General features: G+C 50.0%; 2 protein-coding genes and 2 long non-coding RNA genes across 25 annotated transcripts in view; 3 read left to right on the forward strand and 1 right to left on the reverse strand.

Annotated features, from left to right (window-relative positions):
• Window positions 1–4811, forward strand: part of ARHGEF10 (Rho guanine nucleotide exchange factor 10) — a 135313-nt gene extending 130502 nt beyond the window's left edge. For 18 of the 19 annotated variants that reach the window (XM_047422452.1, XM_047422450.1, XM_047422454.1 and 15 more), the window contains one exon: window positions 2919–4811. In XM_047422452.1, coding sequence (XP_047278408.1) covers window positions 2919–3433 — 515 coding nt within the window. In that variant the 3' untranslated portion in view covers window positions 3434–4811. The remainder of the gene's footprint in view (window positions 1–2918) is intronic. The other variant, NM_001308153.3, reaches the window with a different exon arrangement.
• Window positions 17349–19515, reverse strand: KBTBD11-AS1 (KBTBD11 antisense RNA 1). Of its 2 annotated transcripts, NR_136274.1 has the most exons (4): window positions 19318–19515; window positions 19085–19206; window positions 18710–18833; window positions 17349–18527 (listed from the first exon to the last, which is right to left on the reverse strand). It is a non-coding gene; the product is annotated as a KBTBD11 antisense RNA 1 (long non-coding RNA). The 2 variants fall into 2 exon arrangements; NR_136275.1 differs by lacking the exon at window positions 19085–19206.
• KBTBD11-OT1 (KBTBD11 overlapping transcript 1) lies at window positions 17567–22614 on the forward strand. Its single transcript, NR_126346.1, has 3 exons — window positions 17567–17688; window positions 18095–18207; window positions 22069–22614. It is a non-coding gene; the product is annotated as a KBTBD11 overlapping transcript 1 (long non-coding RNA).
• KBTBD11 (kelch repeat and BTB domain containing 11) overlaps window positions 19847–23769 on the forward strand; it is a 33260-nt gene continuing 29337 nt past the window's right edge. For all 3 annotated transcript variants that reach the window (XM_011534772.3, XM_017014116.2, NM_014867.3), the window contains exon 1: window positions 19847–20105. The gene's annotated coding sequence lies outside the window, so the exon portion shown is untranslated. The remainder of the gene's footprint in view (window positions 20106–23769) is intronic.

The raw sequence follows: 23769 nt of genomic DNA on the forward strand, positions 1-23769 counted from the left end.
CAGCCAGGGGGAAATACTAACAGAGAAAACGCTTTGCAGGAAGCTTGTAGAGCAGAACTGTTCCTACGGGCTCCATTTCTGTGATTTCCTCCCAGGCCGACCTGACGGTGGCTTCCGTGCACTCAGATTTTGGCAGGTCCACCCACAAGGATTAAGGAATTCTAGTTTTGCCATTCATTTCCTAATTTATGTTTTTATTATGATATATGGGATTGTACATGTTGAGGACCCCAAATCCAAAAACAAAATGCGAAATGCTCCAATTTTTTTTTTTTCTTTTTGAGACGTAGTCTCACTCTGGCACCCAGGACGGAGTCCAGTGGCACAGTCTCGGCTCACTGCACCCTCTGCCTGCCAGGTTCAAGCTATTCTCCTGCCTCAGCCTCCCTAGTAGCTGGGATTACAGGCACCAGCCACCATGCCTGGCTAATTTTTGTATTTTTAGTAGAGGTGGGGTTTCATCATGTTGGCCAGGCTGGTCTCGAACTCCTGAACTCAAGTGATTCGCCTGCCTTGGCCTCAGATGCTCCAAATTCTGTGTCGACGTGATGCTGAAAGGCAGTGCTCATTGGAGGAATTCAGATTTTGGATTTCAGATTTGGGATGCTCAACCGGCAAGTGCAATGCAAATATTCCAACATTAAAAAAAAAAATCCAAAACACTTGTGGTCCCAAGAATTTCAGATAAGTGACACTCAGCCTGTAAATACATAGAATTGTGCATAACGCACAGTTTCACAGTTTAAATGGTAACGAGAAGAGGCCACCTGCCTGTGCCCAGGTCAGAAGGGGCTGTGACTCACACACTGAGCCTCAGCTGCCCCTTCTCAGCCTCAGCCCTCTCTGCTCACAACCCTAGGAAATGATGATGCTGAGTTTTACGTCAATTATTCCTTTGGTCCTCCTCTGTAGTTGTACCAATTTGTATCTTAAAGGGTACTTTTCACCTTTCCGGCTTTTGCATTTTCCTAGCTGTCCCATGGTGCAAGCAGCCTCTGTTGCTTTTTCTCTCAGCCTTGCTGGGGTCAGTCCCTGCTGGTGCCACAGCTATAGTGCTTTCCTCTCCCTGCCTGCAGCCTGCCTCTGAAAGGAGGTGCCCTCATTGCCTCTGGATGGATAGCCAGGTGCTCCCTGAAAGGAGGTGCACTCTCACTGTTCCTCTGGAGGATAGCCAGGTGCTCCCTGAAAGGAGGTGCACTCTCACTGTTTTTCTGGATGGGTAGCTAGGTGCTCCCTGAAAGGAGGTGCACTCTCACTGTTCCTCTGGAGGATAGCCAGGTGCTCCCTGAAAGGAGGTGCACTCTCACTGTTCCTCTGGAGGATAGCCAGGTGCTCCCTGAAAGGAGGTGCACTCTCACTGTTTCTCTGGATGGGTAGCCAGGTGCTTCCTGAAAGGAGGTGCACTCTCACTGTTCCTCTGGAGGATAGCCAGGTGCATCCTGGAAGGAGGCACACTCTCACAGTTTCTCTGGATGGGTAGCTAGGTGCTCCCTAAAAGGAGGTGCACTCACTGTGTTTCTCTGGATGGGTAGCTAGGTGCTCCCTGAAAGGAGGTGTACTCTCACTGTTTCTCTGGATGGGTAGCTAGGTGCTCCCTGAAAGGAGGTGCACTCTCACTGTTTCTCTGGATGGGTAGCTAGGAGCATCCTGAAAGGAAGTGCACTCTCACTGTTTCTCTGGATGGGTAGCTAGGAGCATCCTGAAAGGAGGTGCACTCTCACTGTTTCTCTGGATGGGTAGCTAGGTGCATCCTGAAAGGAGGTGCACTCTCACTGTTTCTCTGGATGGGTAGCGAGGTGCTTCCTGAAAGGAGGTGCACTCTCACTGTTTCTCTGGATGGGTAGCTAGGTGCTTCCTGAAAGGACGTGCACTCACTGTGTTTCTTTGGATGGTAGCTAGGTGCTACCCATTTGCATTACACATCAAGCCTCTGTATATTTGTGTGGCTGGCTCTGCTGACATGGGCAGAAGCTCCTTCTGGGGGCTTGCCCAGGGGCAGCATCGCTGGTGTGCAGGGATCACAGGTGTGTGCTTCGCCAGGTGATGAGCGGGCCTGTCCCTGCACAGTCCCCCCAGCTCCTGCTCCCTGCAGACTTCACTTTGCCACTCTCCTCTTTGGGAAATGGACTCTCACCACGGTGGAAGATTCAGTGATGTCATTTGCCTTGGCCAGAGTAGGATGATGGTGAGGGCTGGGGCCTGTTTCATCTGAAAGCACTTGGGGAAAGGACACGTGCCCCTGTCCATATGTCATGTCACCCACAAAGCATCCAGAAGACACGCCAGGTCCACGTGATGCTTACAGAATCAGTGTGGGGGTTGCGGGGCTGTGTGTGGCTTTAAGAAGACCTGCAGGTGTTTCTGATACGATCGTGACTTTAAAATTTGAATCACATCACCTGAAAACTGAAAGTCCTAATTTTAATCAAATTATAGAGTTAAATTGTTCTGAACCCCAGAACGTTTTTGTAATGAAAAATGGCAGGCAGCCGGTAGTTTAGTCATTTCTTTCCCAAACCAACACATTTCAGGCGTTAATATTTCTAATCAAGACTTAGGAAAATTTGGGATATTTCCATAGGGTAAGTAAGAAGGTATTTTATGCAGAATGGAAAAATGACTATTTTATTACTTTGAAAAGTACAGTAGGAGTATTAGAACTGAAATAGTGCTGAGGAAAACACAACTTTCTATTTTAGAAAATCATTTTTAAAGCCTTTTTCACATTAAGTAAAAACCCAGAGGAATATAATCCAGATATTTTCATCGTAGCTTATTATTCATGTATGCAAGTTACTTACAGGCTTTGTTATTTGGGCAGGGAGGAATGCGTTGGGGTTAAGCCCTGCACTTTTTGCTTCCTTGTCTCAAATTTTGCCTATTTTAAAAGACAGCTGTTGAACTGTTTCCCTTTTCAGGAAGAGGCATGGTCTCCTACCATGCACACAACAGTCCTGTCAAATTCATCGTCCTGGCCACGGCTCTGCACGAGAAAGACAAGGACAAATCCAGGGACAGCCTGGCTCCTGGCCCCGAGCCTCAGGACGAAGACCAGAAGGACGCACTTCCGAGTGGAGGAGCTGGTTCATCTCTGAGCCAGGGTGACCCTGACGCAGCCATCTGGTTGGGAGATTCGCTGGGATCGATGACTCAGAAAAGCGACCTGTCCTCCTCATCTGGGTCCCTGAGCTTGTCTCACGGCTCCAGCTCTCTAGAGCACAGATCAGAGGACAGCACCATCTATGATCTCCTGAAGGATCCTGTCTCGCTGAGAAGCAAAGCACGCCGGGCCAAGAAAGCCAAGGCCAGCTCGGCGCTGGTGGTCTGTGGAGGGCAGGGCCACCGCCGGGTGCACAGGAAGGCCCGGCAGCCCCACCAGGAAGAGCTGGCGCCGACCGTCATGGTCTGGCAGATCCCTCTGCTGAATATATAAGCAGGACGGCCGCCTTCTGCTGTCAGAATTTGCAATCAAGGGTGACTTCTCAGCTAATCCTACAGCCTGAGTGGTTAAGCTGTGTCTACACTGGTTGGGAATAAATTAAAAACAGTATTTGGGGGAGAAACGTGCAATAGCGTAATGGTGGTGTCCCTGCCAATTCCTTCCTTCTCTTCTGTACAGCAGAAGTAATTACAAGCACTTCTCACGAAGGCAGAAGACTGATGCAATTTTCGAGTAATTGAGTGCAGTTCTGGGAAAATACCACATTCTTTTTGACTGCTGTAGTCCATATGTGAATACTAAATGTTAAACTTCATCAGCGTCAGACCTATTGTATCATATTAGAGAATTTGCAGACTAAGAATTTATGAGAAAATATATGTATTCAGTAGTGCAGGCATTTATTAACAATTCTTAAAAGTTTTACCTGATTCAGATTCACGACTTTTATTTATATTCTATATTTTTGAATTTCAGAGTAAAATTTGTTAACAATTTTAAAAGCCAGGTAACACCTACCAGTCCAGTTAGCATGATTTGCTTTCAGAAGTGAGCTGGGTTTTCCAAAGTGGTATAATGTGTGTACTGTATATTTTAACAAAGTAATATTTTTGTATTGCATTTTTCTATTAAAAAATTAACAGTTAATGTTTCAGTCAATGTATTATCTGTAGCATTTCACAAATAATGTTTGCTTTGAACCAAAATGCTCAGTGCCTATCAACATTTGGACTCAAGCATCAACACCAAATTATTCCTCCCTTCTCGTATAAATAGAGTGACTATCCACAGGAGAAAAGTGTGTGCTTTAGTATTAGAGGAGATAGGCAGAGAAGTCTTGCTTAGTTCCTTCGTGCAGCTTCTTGCCCCTGTTGACGTGGAATGCTGTGTCTGCTTTAGCACGCACGCTCCGAATGACTCCTGGTGCTAGGCCATGCTGGCTGCTGTCACTGAGCGGGACTCAGGCCAAGAGGCGTGACCTCGGGCCAGCCTGTCTGTTGTGCAGACGCCTCCTCTGCAGAACGCATCAGTTTCTATTCTGCAGTTGCAGAGCCAGCCCCGCGTGAGAACGTGCATAATGAGTGCACACCATCATGTCAAGGTGCATACTTAGTGAGCGCCATCCTGCTGAACGTGTATTTCAGTGTTTCACTTACTGGACGGATAACAAGAAAAAAATCCTAACACAGGCAGGCACCAGAAATAAATGTCTCAGCACTTTACAGATGACTAAAAATGTTAATTTTATGACTTAGCCAAATATGTTCTAGGTTGCATATATCCCCCATGTGAAAGTGATTTCTTCCCAAGCTTCTCAAACTGTTAGCTGCTGTCTGACTTCATCAATAAAGTATTTTTATTTTAAAATGCAGTAGGATGAGTTGCCTCTTTTCTGTGTCAAGTGGAAAGGGACATCAACCTCGGGGGGCTGGGTGGGGGGCTTGGCCTGCCCGTTCCTAGCTGCATCACCACTTGCTGCTTTGGGGAGACTCCGTGTCTGAATCCCAGCAACGCACCCAACTGCGTGGAGCACCGCGCTCTGAATTGGAAGTAGGCACTGGGAATCTTTCAAGCAACTCATGTACTTGTTCTTTATTTGTTTGAAGAGACAAAGTCTCCCTCTGTCGCACAGGTTGCAGTGCAGGGGCGTGATCATGGCTCACCATAACCCCCTGGGCTCCCACAGTCACTGCAGTCTCAACCTCCCAGGTTCAAGCAGTTCTCCCACCTCAGTCTCCTGAGTAGCTGGGACTACAGATGCACACAACCACACCTAACTCTTTTTTTCTTTTTAACATTTTGTAGAGATGGGGTCTCGCTATGTTGTCCAGGCTAGTGTCAAACTCCTGACCTCAAGCAGTCCTCGTGTCTGAGCCTCCCAAAGTGCTAAGTTTCCTAGTGTGAGCCAGGAGTTGGTTGGCAGAATTTTGCCACCCTTCAAGCCTCTGATGGCGGCTCTGATCTCTGCGATTCTTCCAGGAAGGCAGGATGGATTTACTAATTTGGTAGAAAAGGGGAGGGGGGTTCAGAGGCTTCCAATTGATGTTCCTAATTCAGTGGTTCTGACTTCACAGTCATGCCCAGCCTACACTTGGCCATTCCATTTTGAGTTATGAGTAGAATGAGTTTCCTGTAAAATGTTCCTATTGTGGGTGTTTTACCAGACCAGGGCCAACACCTTACATGGAGAGATGAAATGGATGTGTAAAGTTAACTTGCTGGGACAGAAATCTTTCCACACGATTGATGGTGCGGGACATGGACAGAGTGGGGTCTGTGTAACTGACTCCTTAACTCCCTCTGCCCTCCTAGAGAAGAGAGACTTCCAGAGATCCTGAGAGAGGCAGACGCGGGAGGGCTTTGAGGGAGGAAGAGGTTGGAGAACGTGGGCTACAAAGAACTCCCGCTATGCCAGGACGCGGGTTCTGCTTTCACAGTGAATGAGGAAAACAAGCATATCACCAACAAATGAAGCCGTGCAGACAGGCAAGTGCGTTCTCTAAGCAACAAGCTTCTACTGAGCACCTGATGAGTGTCAGAGGTGAGGCCAAGCTCTGTCTTAGGCCCTGAGGATGGGACAAGAGAGAAAAAGCCTCCCTTTGGGGTTGCCACTGCTGGTTTATTCCCCCTCTCCTCTGCAGAGCCCTGGGCTCTTCCTGGACAGGGATTAACCCAGTGACAGCAGGACACTTGGGAGCCCAGGGCCAAATGGCTGCGTCTCCCCCAGCTTCCGGGCCCCCATCTGCTGGGTAGACCCTCGGTAACTTGATCAACAAGGAGCCTGGCTGGCATCACGATCTCACCTCCTGATGGGGCCCCTGTCCTCTGGGGCGTGGCCAGGCTTGGTGTTTCATCACAGCAGCCCGAACGGAGACAGGAAGGCACCAAGAGGCATTGCTCAGCAATGAACAAAAACCTGCAGGTCATGGTCCAAGTCCCACACCTGAGTCAGCTCACAGGCTCGGAGCTCACTGACTGAAGGGGGAGTCAGGTTCACCTGAGGAAGGACCCCACACGTAGGCTGCAGGTCCCTTTGGTCGATGCTTCCCCAAAGGGACCTGCATGCGTGTGCTGGGAAGACTGCAGTGGTAACGGGAAAGAGCAGACCTTGGAAACTGTCCAGGCTCTGAGTCGCCGCTGAGCAGACAAGCAGAGCGGCACCTTGGGCTGTAGAGGGGTCTTATGAAAGCCACATGGCGCGTAGAGTTAGGCCCATGTCCGTCTCACAAGGGCCTATGGGTCTCCAGGTGTATAATTGGGATGGACAGAGCTGGCAGCTGGCAGAAACCATCACTGGTTCCTTAACCTGTGAAGTCAGAGCCACTGAATTAGGGACCATCAGTTGGAAGGCTCTGAACACCCCTCCCCATTCCTACCAAATTAGTAAATCCATCCTGCCTTCCTGGAGGAATCGCAGAGATCAGAGCCACTGTCAGAGGCTCAAAGGATGGTGAAATTCCAGTGCCCGCCAATTCCCATGTAATTCATGGAACTGGGCACTGCAGACACCAGGCTGTGATGGAAGGTGGCGGTGGGGTCCTGCAGCGTGACCAGGTAGTCTCTCCAGTCACAGCCGCTGTGACAAATAGCGTCTTTACCAGAACAGATCAGCACAGCTGCCGATTCAGCAACTGCACTCTTCTCCACACCCTATCCATGGAGAGAAGACAGTTTGTGTTGACTTGGCGAGGACTGCAGTACACTTACTGCCTTGCCCACTGTGCTGTCAACACTGGCTTTACTATAAGGCCACAGGGTCACTACTGTGTCGATGATCTCATGCTGCCTGGACCTGGGAGAACCCAGGTGACCTAGGAATGCAGGTACCTGCCTCAGGCTGGGAGATATCGGAGGCCTGCCACATCATTGAAGCTTCTGGGGTTTCAGCATCTGAGCATGCCCTGATACACCCTATGAGGTAAAGGGCAAACCATACCCCACGCTCCATGCCATTCTGGGGAGCAGTGACTGGGGGACCTCTGGAGTTTGGACCCAGCATGCACTACACATGGGAAGACTGCTCCAACTCATTTCTGGGGAGCCTCTAAGGCTGGCGGTTTTGAATGGGGCCAAGAGCGGGGAAAAGCCTGCTGAGCCACTTCTGCAGCACAGACGCCTTGCCCGGCCTCATGGTGATGCAGATATGACTATGCTGAGACGTTGCTGTAACAGCACGGCCCACAGAGCTGCGGAGCCAGGCTCTCAGTTATCTCCCGTTTGAAAAATGGAGCTTGGGTGGTACTAGGCCCAGTCAAAATTGGGCGCCAGGATCCCTGCAGAGGCCACTGTCTCTGCGCGGGCTGCAGAACAAACCACCATAGACTGGGCAGCCTCACCACGTTGATTTCTCCCTGTGCTGGAGGCTAAGTCAGATCCGGGTGCCGGCACGGTTGGGTCGTCGGGAGGGCTCCTTCCTGGCCTGCAGCCAGCCACCTTCTCACCATGTCCTCCCATCGGGGAGAGGAAGCAAGTTCTCTTACAAAGACACGATCCCATCGTGAGGGCCCCACGCTGGTGACCTCATCCCCTCCCAGAGGCCATCACACTGGGAATTAGGGCCTTGGCATATTAATTTGGGGGGATATGAACCTGCAGCCCAGAACAGATGCCGACTCAGCTAAGCAGCCCGTGGAATGCTGTCATGAGATGGGTGAGTTGCAGGCTGGGGTGGACACGATACCTTAGGGACAGCACCGAGCAGGTTCAGAAAGTGAAGTAAAATGCAGGAAGCAGGTGGCTCTGACCGTGTCCATCGCACTGCCCCACCCACACCCAGCCACATGCAGCAGCCGGCCCCTGGGGGAGCATGGGGACGCTCCTGTCCTTGCTACATGAACTGTGGCCCTGGCTGTCTCGTCCTATGCGAGGAAGGCCCAGTGGGAAGCTGTGGAGGACACGCCTCTGCACACAACGGCTGCACACAGGGCACGCAGTCATCCTTTCAGTTGGAAGGAGGATGAGCAAAAGCCTGTGTCTTTGTGTCTGCGTTAATGCCCCCCAGAGAGAAAGCCCCCGACCCCGGGGTGAGCAGAGTGGTCTGTCTGGGGCTGTTGGCCAGAGTCGGTTTGTGCAATGGGTGTAGGAACACACGGGCCACTGCGGTGGGGTCGTGTGTGGCCCCCCAGCTCAGCATCGTGGGCTCCCTGGCACCAAGCCTGGCCTTGCTAAGACCACACCGAGTGTCCAGCCTGCCGGTAACAGAGAGCCTTGTGGCTCCTTCAGTTTGGCATCATTTCCTGGGAAGACCAGCCCAGTACCAGTCAGATTGGTATTGGGCAGGAAACGGTGCTCCCCGCCAGGCCCCTGCGGCCCTGTTTGAGCAGTGCGCACTCGGGTGGGAAGCCAGTGGCTCCGTCAGCTCCCTGCTCCCATCTGCTCTTTCAAGGGGCCTTGAGAAGAACTGACCGTTGGAGCAGGGCGGTGAACTCAGCATCCCCAGCTGCTGTGGGGAGGGACGCACGTGTGCTGCTGTGGACGCGGAGGCCTCTGGTGGCTGAAAACACCATCATGCTCCCAGGGGTCCCCCGGTGCCTACCTGACCTCCCGGGCCTGCGTCCGATGGCTTCTGCTGTTTCTAACAAAAATGCACCAAGTTCTGGGCTCCTGGTTAGAAAGTGGCAGAGCTAGGGCAGGAAACGGAAAGTCCATGCTCTTTGGTTTTCTGTCAGCTGTCAAATCAGAGCTACGAGCTGCCTCCTCCATCTGCAGAGTGAGGGTGACAGGGACGACGCAAGGCACGTGTCCCCTCGGGTGCGCTGGCCGCTGCAGCCCCTTCCCCATGATCAGTGCATTTCTGAGCACGGCCCTAGTGATGCGAGGTGTCATTCACTCCTATCTTGCACACGAGGACACCACGGCTCCGTGTGTGGGAGTCTCGCCACGGGCTACTTGGCCAGGGGCGGTAGGAGCTGCTCTCCTGCTGGGTGGAGCAGCCTGGCTCTGTGGCACGTGGCCGCCCTCATTACCAGAATTGACCCGAGTCAGGATGACAGGGTTGGGATTACAGAGTAAAGGGGCAGTGAGACAGGCCCTGGAAAGCTGTAGGCTCAGCCAGGGCCCATAACCGCACGGCCTGGAGCCCGGCCTGGACACGCAGCAAACAAACAAAAGGGCTGGAAGCAGAAACCAAACAAAAGCTGCCCACAGGAATCCGTGCCCTGGTGCCATCCGGGGGCTCTTCCCTCCGGCGTATTGTAAACGGTGGTGACAAAGCCCGGCTTGCTGGCTGGAAAGCTGCCCTCCAGTCCCAAAGAGCCGGCAGCCTCTGAGATCCAGAGGGTTCTGTACATTCCGGTTCTAAGCGGGCACCCTGTGTAGATGGCACATGGCCAAGGGTGGCAGAACCGCCTTTTCCAAGGATAAAGAAGAGACGGGGCCATTTTGCAGGCTTCTAGAATGATGCTTGACCATCGATGACAAAAGCCTAGAGCTCTGTGGTGGAGGTAGGGGTGTGTGGAGGGCGCTGGGGTAGGGCAGGCCTGCGATGCGGAGGAGGCACCTGTGTGTGCCGTTGGCCCCCAGTCTCTGTCCTGCCCTGCTGGGCCTCTGGGACAGGGTCTTTGGACACAGTGCTGGAGGCAGGCTCAAATGCCATGGTGCAAGAATCAGGGTGACCCAGAAGGCACCTTTCCCCTCGACACCCACAGGCTTGCCCAGAGTCCAACCCCTTGGATTGTGGGTGCGAGGCACAGGCTCAAGAAGCAAAGTGGAGAGAAAGTAAAGTGGGGGCTACTCTTGTTAGCAATGAGGGGCTTGCGTTTATTTTCTTCTGCTCATGAAAAAAATAATTGCTTTTTTGGTGCTAACATACAAGAGTCCCGTTCCATCTCCAGTTCAGTGGGTCTCACCCAGGGCAATTTCCACCTTCCACCACCCCCTAGGAGACATTCGGCAATGTTGGGAGACACCTTGGTGGTCAATACAGGGAGAGGTCAGGGAAAGGGTGGGCGCCAGGCTTCCACGTGCAGAGACCACGGACACCCCAAGCATCCTGCAGTGCCCGAACAGCCCCAGACGCCGATGGCACAGAGGCTGGAAGACCCTGGTCGGTCGGTTAAGTAAGGGACGATTCATCTTCACCATCTTCCACCCAATCAAAAATCAACGGCTTGGTTTCCCTTTTGTTGCCAGCATGTGGGGTCCTGGTCTGGTCTCTAACGTCCCCCCTGTTCTCACTGTGCCTGTCTCATTTCGGCACTGTTGGTCTATTTTGAATTTTTAAAAGTTTCTTCTTTAGGTCATGAAATGGAATTCTCATACAGGCTAGCAGGAGTTAGCAGTGCCAATTAGCCCATATGTGAACACTCTTCCATTCATTCATCTCTAAGCCAAACCCAACAGTACATTCACAGCCTAAAGGGATCTGGATCCATACTCAGCCGAGACAGAAAGAACAATTTCTGGTGGCAGGAGACATTTTAGTTTACCTTATTTTGAGCAAATTCAACATATGTACATCTGGCTCGCACAAGCAGTAAATTTGGGCTTGGTTTTTCACATATTCAAAGTTTACAACAGACCCCTCTTGATTTTCTGGAGGAGGTGCAGGCTTTAGATGGGAACTCTTCACCCAGGTTCCAGGATCTGTGGGTCCACGGTTGCCCACCGGGTTGTGAGCTCCAGGGACAGGCGTGCCCACGGCTGCCTCCCCGTGTGACCAGAATCACTCAATGCTGCTGTCCTGGGGCCCGAAGATCGCGTTTGCCATTCTGGAACTTTTATTCATCTCGCTTTTCAGAAACACAAATGACGGATGAAGCACACAGGCCCTGAAACCCAAACGTTAACTTGGACTTAGAGCTGCTTGAGCTAGTTACTTCACATCTGTTTCAACGGAGCCAGTAGGAGCTGCCTCACACAGCTAGTAGGAGATGTGAATGAATCAGGCATGGGAAGGTGTCTGCGTGTCACCCATGGTCGGTAGGTAGGAGCTCTTACGTAGTAACAGTTTCCCCCAAACTCCATCTCAGTCATGCATCCCTATGGGCCGCGATTGCTTCGATTATCCCATAATTTCCTCACTCCTGACTTAGATGGTTTCGATTTTTCAACAAACGTGTACTGCTTGCTTGCAGTGGGTCGGCTCTGAGCAGCGGTTGGAGCTTGGAGGGGAGCAGGGCCTGCTGGGCCCTGACCCGAGATGCAGTCCCGTCCGTGGTGTTCTGCTTCCTCCCTAACACCTCTCTGCAGTGTCCTGCGGCTGGGCAGCGGCCCCCTCATGGATGTCCATGTCCTCATTCCTGGATACAGTGGATATGTGGCCTTATGTGGCAAAGGGACTTTGCAGGTGCGGCTGAGCTCAGGATCCTGAAATGAATAGATGACCCTGGACTATCTGGGCTGGCCCAGCCTGATCAGAGGGGTCTGTTTAAGAAGGAGGCAGAGACGGAGAAGGAGATGTGAAAATGGAAGCAGAGGAGAAAGAGACACAATCCTCCAGGCCAGACAGAGCCACCTGCCTGCCACCGCTCACCTTCCTCAGCATGTGCTTTGGTTCAAGAGTTACCTGAGAGCTGTCCATTCCAACAGGCGCCCCCAACACTGCCCACCACCGCTCCAGGTCTGTGGTTCCCTAGGATCCAGAGTCCCTTTCCTGTCTCAGCTCTGTCTGGTGGGACCCCGGTACGGCAGGCGACTTCTCTGGAGACTCTCTGGTGTGTTAAAATTTGGACACAGGAGTTCTGATCGCAGCAGGGTCCTGCTGGAAGGTGCAGAGGCCAAAGCAGTTTGAGGATTGCAGGTCCTTTCCAGCAAAGAACCCACTGAAGCTGGGGACTGCTGAGCAGCTGGGGCTGCCCAGAAGGAGGGCAAAGCCATCTGAGGAAACGCCCAGGGCAGAAGGTCCTGCCAACCCCCCTCTGACCCGGTCTCCTCCGAGTCCTCTCCTCTGTGGCTCCCAGAGCTCCCTGCAGGCTCCCGCCTGGGATGCCAGGAACAGGGGCTCTCAGGATGGTGTGGGGGCTTCAGGGCTGCAGGGACCACAGAGCCAGGTGGAGCTGGGAGAGGCTCTGTGGTCAGCCCCCACTCTCCTCACTTCCCACGCCTCCTGCTGCAGAAGACACCCTTGGAGCTGGGGGAGGGGCAGCCGGGGAGGAAGGTCGGGTCTGACCACTCCCTGTGACCCAGCCCCATGCAGCTGCACAGGCGGCTGACCTACCTCCCAGGGCGCCCGAGCAGAAGCTCTGCAGCTGATCAGTGTCCCGCACCCTCCTAAGTACACAACCCCGTGCATCCCCACATCCCGAAAGGCCTGGGTGTTACACAGGGAGGCCATCCGAGTTTCACTGTTAGTGTTTTTTAAAGTGATTTCCTGGCACCCTACAAACAGTAGCATTTTAATCCCAGACAGCAGCCGGAAGGAGCGATTCGTCATCCTGGTCAGAAGACATCGAGGTCTATTTGGCTGAGCACTTAGATATCCTCTTATATTGATGGAAATAGTTTAGAGCCATTTTCAAACATTTATACCCCACAAGTACTTTTTCCCAAGTGTATTGCCTAATTCGGCCGGAAGACTTTGTTTGGAAAAACCGAGTCTGGGAAGCACTCCAGCTGCGCCCACCTGGCACGGTGAGGCCTTTGCCAGGACACGGATTCGCATTGCGTTTCTCCGGGACCAGCCAATTGCTCAGTCATTACCCGGTGACCCTTAGCTATGCAGCTCAAAGTGTGACAATTGTGGGCCATGAACCCTCCAGGAAGGACCAACATCGCCACCAGTACTAAAACTAAAACCAGTGTTTAGAAAGTTGTGTACCAGTTTGACAGCGTGATTTTGCACCTGTTTAACCTAAGGTAATGGTTTTGTATTTTGTATGTCTTTTACAATTTTTATTTGTATTGCAAATTGAAATGCTGTCTGTCTATAAAGGATTGAAAACTTTAAAATCATAAACTGACATGTCACTCCCAATAGCGTGGAAAGCCCTGCCTGTATGGAAGAGACACAAAACCCTGGAATGAGCGTCCTGGCACTGCTGTGACACAGTACCACACGCGGGGGGATGGGGGAAGGGGTGCTGAAAACCACAGAGGTGGATTCTCCGCAGTTCTGGAGGCCAGACACTGACGATCAAGACGTCAGCAGGGCCACGCTCCCTCAAAGGATCTGGGGAGCAGGCTTCCCATCTCTTCCAGCTGCCAGTGTGGACAGGAACCCTCCCCACTTTCTGTGGCTGGCAGGTCATCGCTGCAATCCCCGCCTACCCGCACCCCCCTCCTCCCTGGGCACCCCCACATCATCTTCTTTCTGTGTGTGTCTCTGTGTCTGAATTTCCACTTCTTTCCACTCATGCTGGATGAGGGCCTGCCCTAACGAACTCACACTAACGCAATCACCTCTAAAAAAGCCTCTTTCCAAATACAGTCACCTTCCAAGGGACGAGGCTTAGGTCTTCAACGGATGTTGTTCTTCAGGACACGATTCAACCCTTAACAATCTTTAAACTGTGGCTCACAATAATGTGTTATTTGGCAGATGGTCCTACTGGATTTATACGTTTGAGGATGTATTACTTATACCTATTCTAAGTAACTAGTGGCTTGAAAATGAAATCTGTTTGCAGTCACTGTATTACCAGCAGTGGGATCAGGAACACCACAGATACACTTTTACTCGGGTTTTTGTCTTGTTGAGCCTTGCACAGCATCAAAGCTATGGCTAATACTCTTTTCTAGTGATAGCAGCATGGTTTAGAACTGATTTATGTGACAACAGGACACACCCTTGCGGAGGTCCTGCCTCGCTGGCAGGATGGCCAACCCTGGCCGCATCCCAGTTCCTGGGCTGTACCAGCCACAGGCCACCTCCTGCTGCTGACGTCGAACTCGGGGTTCCTGCCATCTCGGGCGACCCAGACAAGTTCAAGAGGATGCACGCTGGGACATTTACACTCTAAGGATAACTTTCAAATCATAGCACGAAATATTTTCAGGATTGGTATGGAAACCCATGGGGTGAAATTAAGCTATAGGAGGTGCTGGGATGCCAGTTTTAGTTATTTTTAGCATACAGATTCCTGCTGTACGAAGCACGTCCTGTAGCACAGACCTGCTCACCCCTCTGGACAGCAGTTCTCCTTGGCGACTGCTGTAAACAAGGGCCCTGAGTTAGGATCTGAGCCCTAGCTCCGCCTCACGGAAAAGGCGTGCCCCTGAATGAGTTAGGCAGACCTCTTCGAATGTTAAGTTTCCTCAACTGAGAAATGGAAATAGTCGCTACCACCTGTTATTTTTGGAACCGTAGATAGACCACATATAGATATACCATGAATATTTATGTGGAAATTGTAGATAACTTGTTTTAACATTATTAAAAGATACCTTGAAAAAAATACATTTTGTATGTTTCAGATTTAAAACATCTATTTTACATGTTTCAGATTTAAAACATCTATTTTACTTGTTTCAGATTTAAAACATCTATTTTACATGTTTCAGATTTAAAACATCTATTTTACATGTTTCAGATTTAAAACATCTATTTTACATGTTTCAGATTTAAAACATCTATTTTACATGTTTCAGATTTAAAACATCTATTTTACATGTTTCAGATTTAAAACATCTATTTTACATGTTTCAGATTTAAAACATCTATTTTACATGTTTCAGATTTAAAACATCTATTTTACATGTTTCAGATTTAAAACATCTATTTTACATGTTTCAGATTTAAAACATCTATTTTACATGTTTCAGATTTAAAACATCTATTTTACATGTTTCAGATTTAAAACATCTATTTTACATGTTTCAGATTTAAAACATCTATTTTACATGTTTCAGATTTAAAACATCTATTTTACATGTTTCAGATTTAAAACATCTATTTTACATGTTTCAGATTTAAAACATATATTTTATATGTTTTAGATTTAAAACATAAATTTATATATAAAATATATATTTATAAATTTATATATAAAATATATATTTATAAATTTATATATAAAATATATATTTATAAATTTATATATAAAATACATATTTATAAATTTATATAAAATCTATATTTATAAATTTATATATAAAATCTGTATTTATAAATTTTATATGGAAAATGTATATTTATAAATTTTATATGGAAAATGTATATTTATAAATTTTATATGGAAAATGTATATTTATAAATTTTATATGGAAAATGTATATTTATAAATATATTATATATTATATATAATAAAATATATATAAAATATATTTTTATATTATGTAATATATATTTTTATATTTTATATATAAATATATATTTTATATTTTATATATAAATATATATTTTATATTTTATATATAATATATATTTATATATTTATATATTTATATATATTTATATATTTATAGATTTTATAAATAATAAAATCTATAAATCTATAAATCTATAAATCTATATAAATATATATAAATATATAAATATAAATATAACATAAAATTTATATTTAAAATACATAAATATATATATTTGAGACAGGGTCTCACTGTGTTGCTCCAGCTGGAGTGCAGTGGCGCAATCATGGCTCAGAGCAGCCTCAACCTCCCAGGCTCAAGCAATCCTCTCACTTCGGCCTCCTGAGTAGCTGGGACTACAGGTGCACGCCAGCACGCCCGGCTAATGTTTTGTATTTTTGTGGAGACAGGGTTTCTCCATGTTGCCCAGGCTGGTCTCCAACTCCTAGGCTCAGGCAATCTGCCCGCCTCAGCCTCCCAAAGTGCTGGGACCACAGATGTGAGTCACTGCCCCCGACCCTCAAAATATTTTAAATTGCAGCTAACTTGCTCTAACATTATTAATATATGCCTTGAAACTATTTTAAAGTAATGGTTGCCATCTTATTTCCTTTATTTTTCTGAAAAATGGTTACTAGGATTCCCCCTAATAAACGTACTGGCCATGTGGAGACAGCAGCGTTAATTCACTGGCAGAGCGTGTTGCCTGTGGGTAACCTGCAATCTGCTTGAGGGAACCACGTGCCCAGGCCCCTGCAGCCCCTGGGAGAGCCTGTCAGGGATGATGAGCAATGGGCATTTGGGCTCAACAGGCCTCACTCCTTCATTTAGTCAACAATTACCGAGCTTGGCTTCATGCCCTCACATTGCTGGGCCCAGGGGTACAAAACTAAAAAGCATGGCCTCCGTTTCCCTATTCGAATCAGGACAATTAGGGTATCATCTTAAACCTGGGACTGTCTGTAATTTAAAATTTGGGGTCCAGGCACGGTGGCTCACGCCTGTAATCCCAGCGCTTTGGGAGGCCGAGGTGGGTGGATCACCTCAGGTCAGGAGTTTGAGACCAGACTGACCAACGTGGTGAAACCCCATCTCTATTAAAAATAAAAAAAATTAGCCGGGCGTGGTGGCACACACCTGTAATCCCAACTACTCGGGAGTCTGAGGCAGGAGAATCACGTGAACCCGGAAGGTGGAGGTTGTAGTACGCTGAGATCACACCATTCCACTTCACACTGGGCAACAAGAGCGAAACTGTCTCAAAAAAATAAAATTTGGGGAATGACATGCTTAGCACATGGCCAATGCATGTTTGCTATCGATAGTCAATAGTGGACAATATCAAAGAGGACTTAGGAACACACTGTTTCCTTAATATGAGGGTCTCAGGCGCTGGCTGGTAACATAGGTGGAGAGACTGACATAAGGAAAGAGCTTCACAGTATTTAAGCAGCAGCTTGCGACAAAAACGCAATTGCACACAGTTCATCAGAGCTGAGGAAGCACTGAAGTAGGTAAGGTTCACCTAAGGGAGTGCCAGGGCCGGGTAAGGTTCACCTAAGGGAGTGCCAGGGCCGGGTAAGGTTCACCTAAGGGAGTGCCAAGGCCAAGACTACTTTTGTACAATATGCACAGAATTTTTTAATGAACCAGTGAGTGTTGTTTCAAAGCCAACACATATATTCTAATTATTTCTTCATGCCAAGAAGCTGGAAGTACTTTATAGCAATTGGCTCCATTCCTGACAGTTATTGGGATTTAACAGCTTTATTGGCTGGGGGAGGAACACATGAACTCCTAAGGGCTAATACAAGCATTTGGGAAATTATCTGTTGTCTGGCGTCAGCACTGGAACAGGGCAGCAGAGCTGGAGAGTAAGAAGCAGAGCTGGAGAGGAAGAAGTGTTTGCTAAGTCACCGCGCAGGAGGAGACAGAATCAGAGGTGACGAATGTAAGTCCACCCATTGGCTTAAGATCCAGTATCCTGAGTGAGTTGCACAGATCCTCTCCTTCAGTCCTCTCAGGTAGGTGCAGTGGTGTCTCCCTGGAGCACAGAGAGGCCAAGTATCTGGCTCCAAATCACAAGACTTGCAGAGGGTAAGGCTGGTGTCTAAGGTCCCATCAGTTGAACTCCAAAGCAGGCTGTCTAGAAATTGGGTTCAGAGACCTCCCAGCCTGGAACCCAGTTTGATGGAGTCCCGCATTCAGGGGCCAGTAAACCACTGTACCCTGGACAACTCCATAAGCTTCGGTTATATTTTTAGGGCGGTTTTGCATGTTGAAATATTTGCATGCTTCGAGTCTACCATGCATGATCAGGCTGTCCCTGACCAGGGGAAAATTTACATAGTAAAATAGTATTACCCTTGAAATAGATTTAAGATAGGTCCTCCTTTTTCTTGACAGTATTACAACCCAGTTCAATTTCAGGAACTCTAGAGGTCCCTGCAGTTATGAAGAACTAATTAAAGGCATGAAATGTTCCTCTGCAAGTTTCATTGACCATATTGGGCCTACAGTCCATTTCCAAATAAATATCTAAGGTAAGAAAAATATGGGACTCCCCACAGACTACTTATCTACCAGATGGTGTGGGGTTTGGATGGATGTTTTCAGTTACTTCAGCAATTTTTTCATTAATTCAGTATTTATTGAGAACCTAATGTATGCCAAGCTTGTAAAATGCAGTGGGGGGTATGACCTATTCCCAGGTCTCTGGACTCTGGCAGAATGGTAGAGAAGATGCTGTCGGGCTTGCATGTTCAGAACACCGTGTCTTAGGTGACCTCCCGGGCCTTTGGAGGCCCAACCCCAGGGTGGCGGGATAGCCAGGTGAGGCTTTGTTTGGCCTGTTCACGTTTCTCTGGAAAAGAATGGGGGTAGTTAGGCCAGGCGCGGTGGCTCATGCCTGTAATCCCAGCACTTTGGGAGGCCAAGACAGGTGGATCACTTGAGGTCAGGAGATCGAGACCAGCCTGGCCAATGTACAGTGAAACCCTGTCTCTACTAAAAATACAAAATTTAGCTGGGTGTGGTGGTGCATGCCTGTAGTCACAGCTACTTGGGAGGCTGAGGCAGGAGAATTGCTTGAACCCAGGACGCAGAGATCGCAGTGAGCCGAGATTGCACCACTGCATTCCAGCCTGGGCGACAGAGTGAGACTCCATCTCTAAAAAAAAACAAAAGAGAAAAAGAAGTATTATTCTGCAGCCGAAAGGAAGTAGAGATGCACTAAGAAGATCACAGTAGAGTTTGGAACATTTTTGGAGTAAACTGAACAAAATAAAAACGGAGCAGCATGGGAATTATTTTAGCTTCCACCAAAAGGGTCTGTTTCTGCTATAGTTAACGGAAGTTTTCAATTTTCAAAAAATCCCAGTAGCTCGCTGAGTTTCAGCCTCCTGTAATTCAAGTACTGACAGCAGGTACTACTCTTCTTGGCAACAGAGTGAAAAAGGTTTTAAAGATGTTCCCGGGGCGTTAGCTTTGGTGCTGGAGTTGTAACGGCTCATTATGTGTATACAGCATGGAACTGGCAAAGACTGTCACAAGCAAAAAGAACACAAAAAGAGAAAGTAAAGGCTCTGGCTCTCGGTACTTATGGAAATCTCATCGTCATTAATTTGCACAAAGCCATTAAAAATAGCATTTACCAGCAGGGGTCCAGCGTTAATTAGAACCCAGCCTGGGAGCAGCTGGAACTCTCGGCGCTCCTGGCTCAGTCCTCGCCGCCCTGAACCCGTCTGCACCGCAGGGCCCGAGTGGGAGGCAGAGGCCACATTTCTGGATATGAGCAAAAGCTCCGACATTTCGTCCACTCTCGTGTTGTGAACTTTAAAAAATTCTGGAATCTGTTGAGAATTTGGCAATAAGTTTTTAACCACTAAATATGTCAACAACGCATCGCCTCTACTTTTACCAAAAAATAGGCGCACGAAACTCCGCTGTTTGCGCCCGCGGACACCTGTCCCCGCCTCCTCGCAGGAAGCGGCCCCCGCGCGTGGGCGCGGGCTCGGGCTCGGGCTCGAGTGGCGACGTGGGCCGCGGTCCTGGAGGGGGAGAAGCGCCCGGCGGGCAGGCGCGGGGCAGGGAAGCCCCGGGGAACCCACAGCCCCTCCGCAGACCCAGCCAGGGGGCGCGCGCCCGAAAACGCCCCGTGTGCACGCGCCCGCCCCCCTCCCCGCGCCCCGCGCGCGCCCCTCGCAGCCTGGAGCCGGAGCGCTGGCTCCGCGCGGCCTGGAGAGGCGGAGAGGCCTGTCCACCGCCCCCTCTGCCGCCCACGCCCCGCTGCGGGTCGGAGGAGCAGCTCCCGCTCGCAGGTGCTCGGAGAGGCCGGGCCGCGGCTCCCACAGGTGCCGGGAAGCGGCCGCGCGCATGCGCCGGAGCCCACCCGCCTGGCTGCGCGTCCCGGGCCCGGCGGCTGAAGAGGAGCCGCGGCGAGGTAGGGCGGACCCCGGGGAGGCAGCGGCGGGGCCTGGCGGGCGGAGCGGGAAGCAGCCCGAGGCGCGGGTCGGAGGGGGCGGCGGGTGGGAGGTGGTCGGCGAGAGCGGCAGTAGGCGGGAGGGGAGAAAAGGGGAGGCCGGCAGGGGAGAGGCGGGGAGGGGAGGCCGGCAGGGGAGGGAGGGGAGCGGAGCGGAGGGGAGGGGAGGGGGGACCGGGAGAGGAGGGGGCAGCGCTGCCCGCGGCGGGGTGGGCGGCGGTGGGTGGTCTCCGCTCCGCCTCCGGGAGGCCGCGTGGGGGGCGTGGGGGCCTCCTCGCGGGGTCTCCACAGGCCCTCCCCCGGGACGCGGCAACCCCGGCCGGAAGACAATGAGCCGCCCGCGCCGCGCCCGCAGTCACCGCCCCCGCCGAGGGTCCCGCCGCCCCAGCCGGCACGGAAGCAGGAGCAGAAGCCGAAGCCAAGCGCGCGGGGCCAGGGCGGGGGCTCCTCCCGGGGTTGCTCCGCTTGGCTCTCGGCGGTCGCGGGGATCGGCTGTCCGGAGCGAACGGGGGTCTCTCCTGGACTCGGGGCCCTGGGGAGGGGAGCGCGGCCCTTGGTCCTCCGCCGCTGCGCCCGGGGTGCGGGGGTGTCCTGGCTGCTGACCCCCGCGAGCCCCGAGCACCGCGACCCACCCGCCCCACCGCGCCGCGGCTCCCGAGTCCTGCCGGGCGCCCCTTGCAGCCCCCGCCCCATGTGCTGGGGAGACCCCCGGGCGGTCTGGGCGGGATTCCGCAGGGGTCCCTCCTCTCAGGCGGGGCTCATTCTGGAGCATGAAAAGAGGGTGAACCAAAGTCCCTCCACCTCTTTAGAGTCCTACAAAACCACGTTTCCCCCTCCACCCACTCCAGTGTCTATTCTAAGGAAAAGAAAAGGAACAAATCAGTGCAGCGAGCTTTATTCTACTCAGCCCACGAAAGGCGCCGCCGTCAGATTTTAAAGTTCCAGCCATCCCCTCAGGCCCTGAGTGAGAAGTTCGCCCGATTCCCCGCGGTTCCCGCCTCCATTTCCCACTAAGGAGCAGTTACTCAGGCTCCAATTAGGACCCCTTAATGGATGTCAATGGAACCCTTCAGCCTTTTATCCTGAGCTAATAGTGTGCTATTATTAGAATAATCCTCCCCATTCCTGACATCACGGAAGGGAGCGTTCCATTGCCTTCAGATTTGCTCCAGCAACAACCTCGTGTGTGCAGATTTATGGTAACTGGCATTGCAATGCTCCCATCAGGGCATAACTAAGTAAAAATTGTAATGAGGTAAAGCCTTTGAACTTTCCATGTCAGTTGCACAGGCATTGCTGGCCATAGCATTGGACAGCACATAATAAAATCAGTTAAAAGATGTTGCTTACATTATAGTGATGTGTAGCACAGCCACGTTCGGATCAATTACAGACCGCCAAGTTGACGGTGGTCCTGTAAGATTATAAAACTGTTTTCCCTGTGTCTTTTTCATGCTTAGAAATGTGTAGATACACAAACACCATTGTGTTACAATTGCCTGCGGTATTGTGCACGCTGCACAGGTGTGCAGTCTGGAGCAGGAGTCTGTGCAGTGGAGCACAGGTGTGTAGCAGGCTGCACCGCCTAGGTGTGTAGGTGCCCTGTGTGATGTTTGCACAGTGATGAAGTTATCTAACTATCATTTCTCAGAACCTGTCTGCATCTGAACCATTCGTGACTGTATTTAAGCCAGCATTGGGCTTGGGAGGAGGGGAGAAAGCTTAAATGTTGTGGCTCTGAGACTAAAGAAATTCCCAGGGAGCAGGACTCTGTGTTGACTGATGTCTGGGCCTAACTTGAACCTCAGAGCACCTTGCTCTGGGTGGATGGAAGAATCCGGAAAGGTGGTTTGGAGCTTATCGCATCATTTGTAAACTCCAATACAAACCCGCTTCAATGGGGTTTCCATATGTTCCGGTACAGGTAGCAACCTTGGCAGTGGGAGCCCAGCAGGTCCCGTCTTTGTCCCTGTGCTGATACAGAGAGACTCTCCGTGCTGTGGACGCCTCCATCTGGGCACATGTTTCAGTTGTTTTCTAAATACCAAGAGCACAGATTGCTCAGTAATAATAGCTCTCCTGCAAATCTGGAATCACTTAGGCAGCTGCAGTGCCTCTAAGCCTCCTTGCATCCAAGGCTGTGATCAAGGAGGACTGGTGTCTGAGTGGGCTTGAGAAGGGCCCGGAGAACAGCGGGTTTCCTGATCACAAATCAGCCTGTCATTCAGCATGTGTTCCCTTGGTGACTCAGGGCGATATCTGCCCTTCTCCGGAGGTCAAGGGCTCATCGTGTCAATTGTGGTCTTGAGTTTGTTTTTTTTTTCCTCTTGAAATCATTGTAATTAAGCTAAAAGTATAGTGTTGGTATCCAGCACATGTTTGCAAAGTATTTAACAATGAGCAAAAACTTTAAGAATAAATTAAAGCATCTAGTTTACTTTTTGCCAACAGCCAGGTTCCTGCTAGAAATGATTTTGAAATAAATGTTGTCTTGGAAATAGAAACCGTTGCATGTCTTATGTGCATTTTGTTTGAAGGATTAGCATGAATTTCCTTCTCTTCTGAATATTTGTGGAGTTCCCCTGCTCCCCCACCCCCCACCCTGCTGTGGGTCAGGCTCAGTCCTAGGTGCTGGGAATACAGTTGTAAGTAAAGTCAGCCTAGTTCTCTGCTATCTGCAGCTGAGACGTTAATACAGTGAAAGGCATTCAGCATATAATTACGTTAATTCTTAGGTAATAACACACGGAGATGAGTGCGTTGAAGGAGAGGAATACATTCCCTTGAATGCACGTAACAGAGGAATGTTAGGCCGAGAACTAAGGGATGAGAGGGGTGGCTCAGGAGCCCAGGAGGGGACAGTTTGCGGGAACATTGTGTGCAAAGGCCCTGTGGTGAGGACTAGAGCACGGAGAGGTCAGTGAGGGGCGCTGGAGCAGGGTGTAGTAAAAGTGTAATGTCAGCCGATTTTATGGCTGAGTTAAATTGATGGAGCTTCACACTTTAGAGCAAGGTCCTCCAACCCATGGGCCACGAGCCACATGTGGCCCAGGACAGCTTTGAATGAGGCCCAACACAGATTTGTAAACTTTCTTAAAACATTATGAGTTTTTTTTTTTTTTAAGCTCATCATCTATCATTAGTGTTAGTCTATTTTATGTGTGACCCAAGACAATTCTTCCAGTGTGGCCCACGGAAGCCAAAAGATTGGAGACCCCTGCTTTAGAGCTTGACTGAGTTTCATATGGATTAATTTTGTAGCATGGAGACTTCCCGAGTCCTAAAGTGAAATCATTAAATAGGAAGATGCACATAGAATGTTTTGTAAATGAAAAACCACGGTGCCGATGTTAGCTGGTATTGTTACTGTTTTATTAGAAAGGTGTAGAGTCGTGGGGACATACATATGGGTGTGGTTCTATGAAGTGTACCATCTTTGTCCTGGCCACCTCCATCTCATGCTTGGACTCCTGCAGTAGTCTCTGGAGAGGCTCTGCACATCCTCTCTTTGAACAGGTCCTCCTGCAGTAGTCAGAACAATGATTTTTATTATTATTATTATATTTTGAGATGGAGTCTGGCTCTGTCATCCAGGCTGGAATCCAGTGGCACCATGTCAGCTCAC

The sequence above is a fragment of the Homo sapiens genome, chromosome 8 (assembly GCF_000001405.40).
Source record: "Homo sapiens chromosome 8, GRCh38.p14 Primary Assembly".
Classification (NCBI taxonomy): Eukaryota; Metazoa; Chordata; class Mammalia; order Primates; family Hominidae; genus Homo; species Homo sapiens.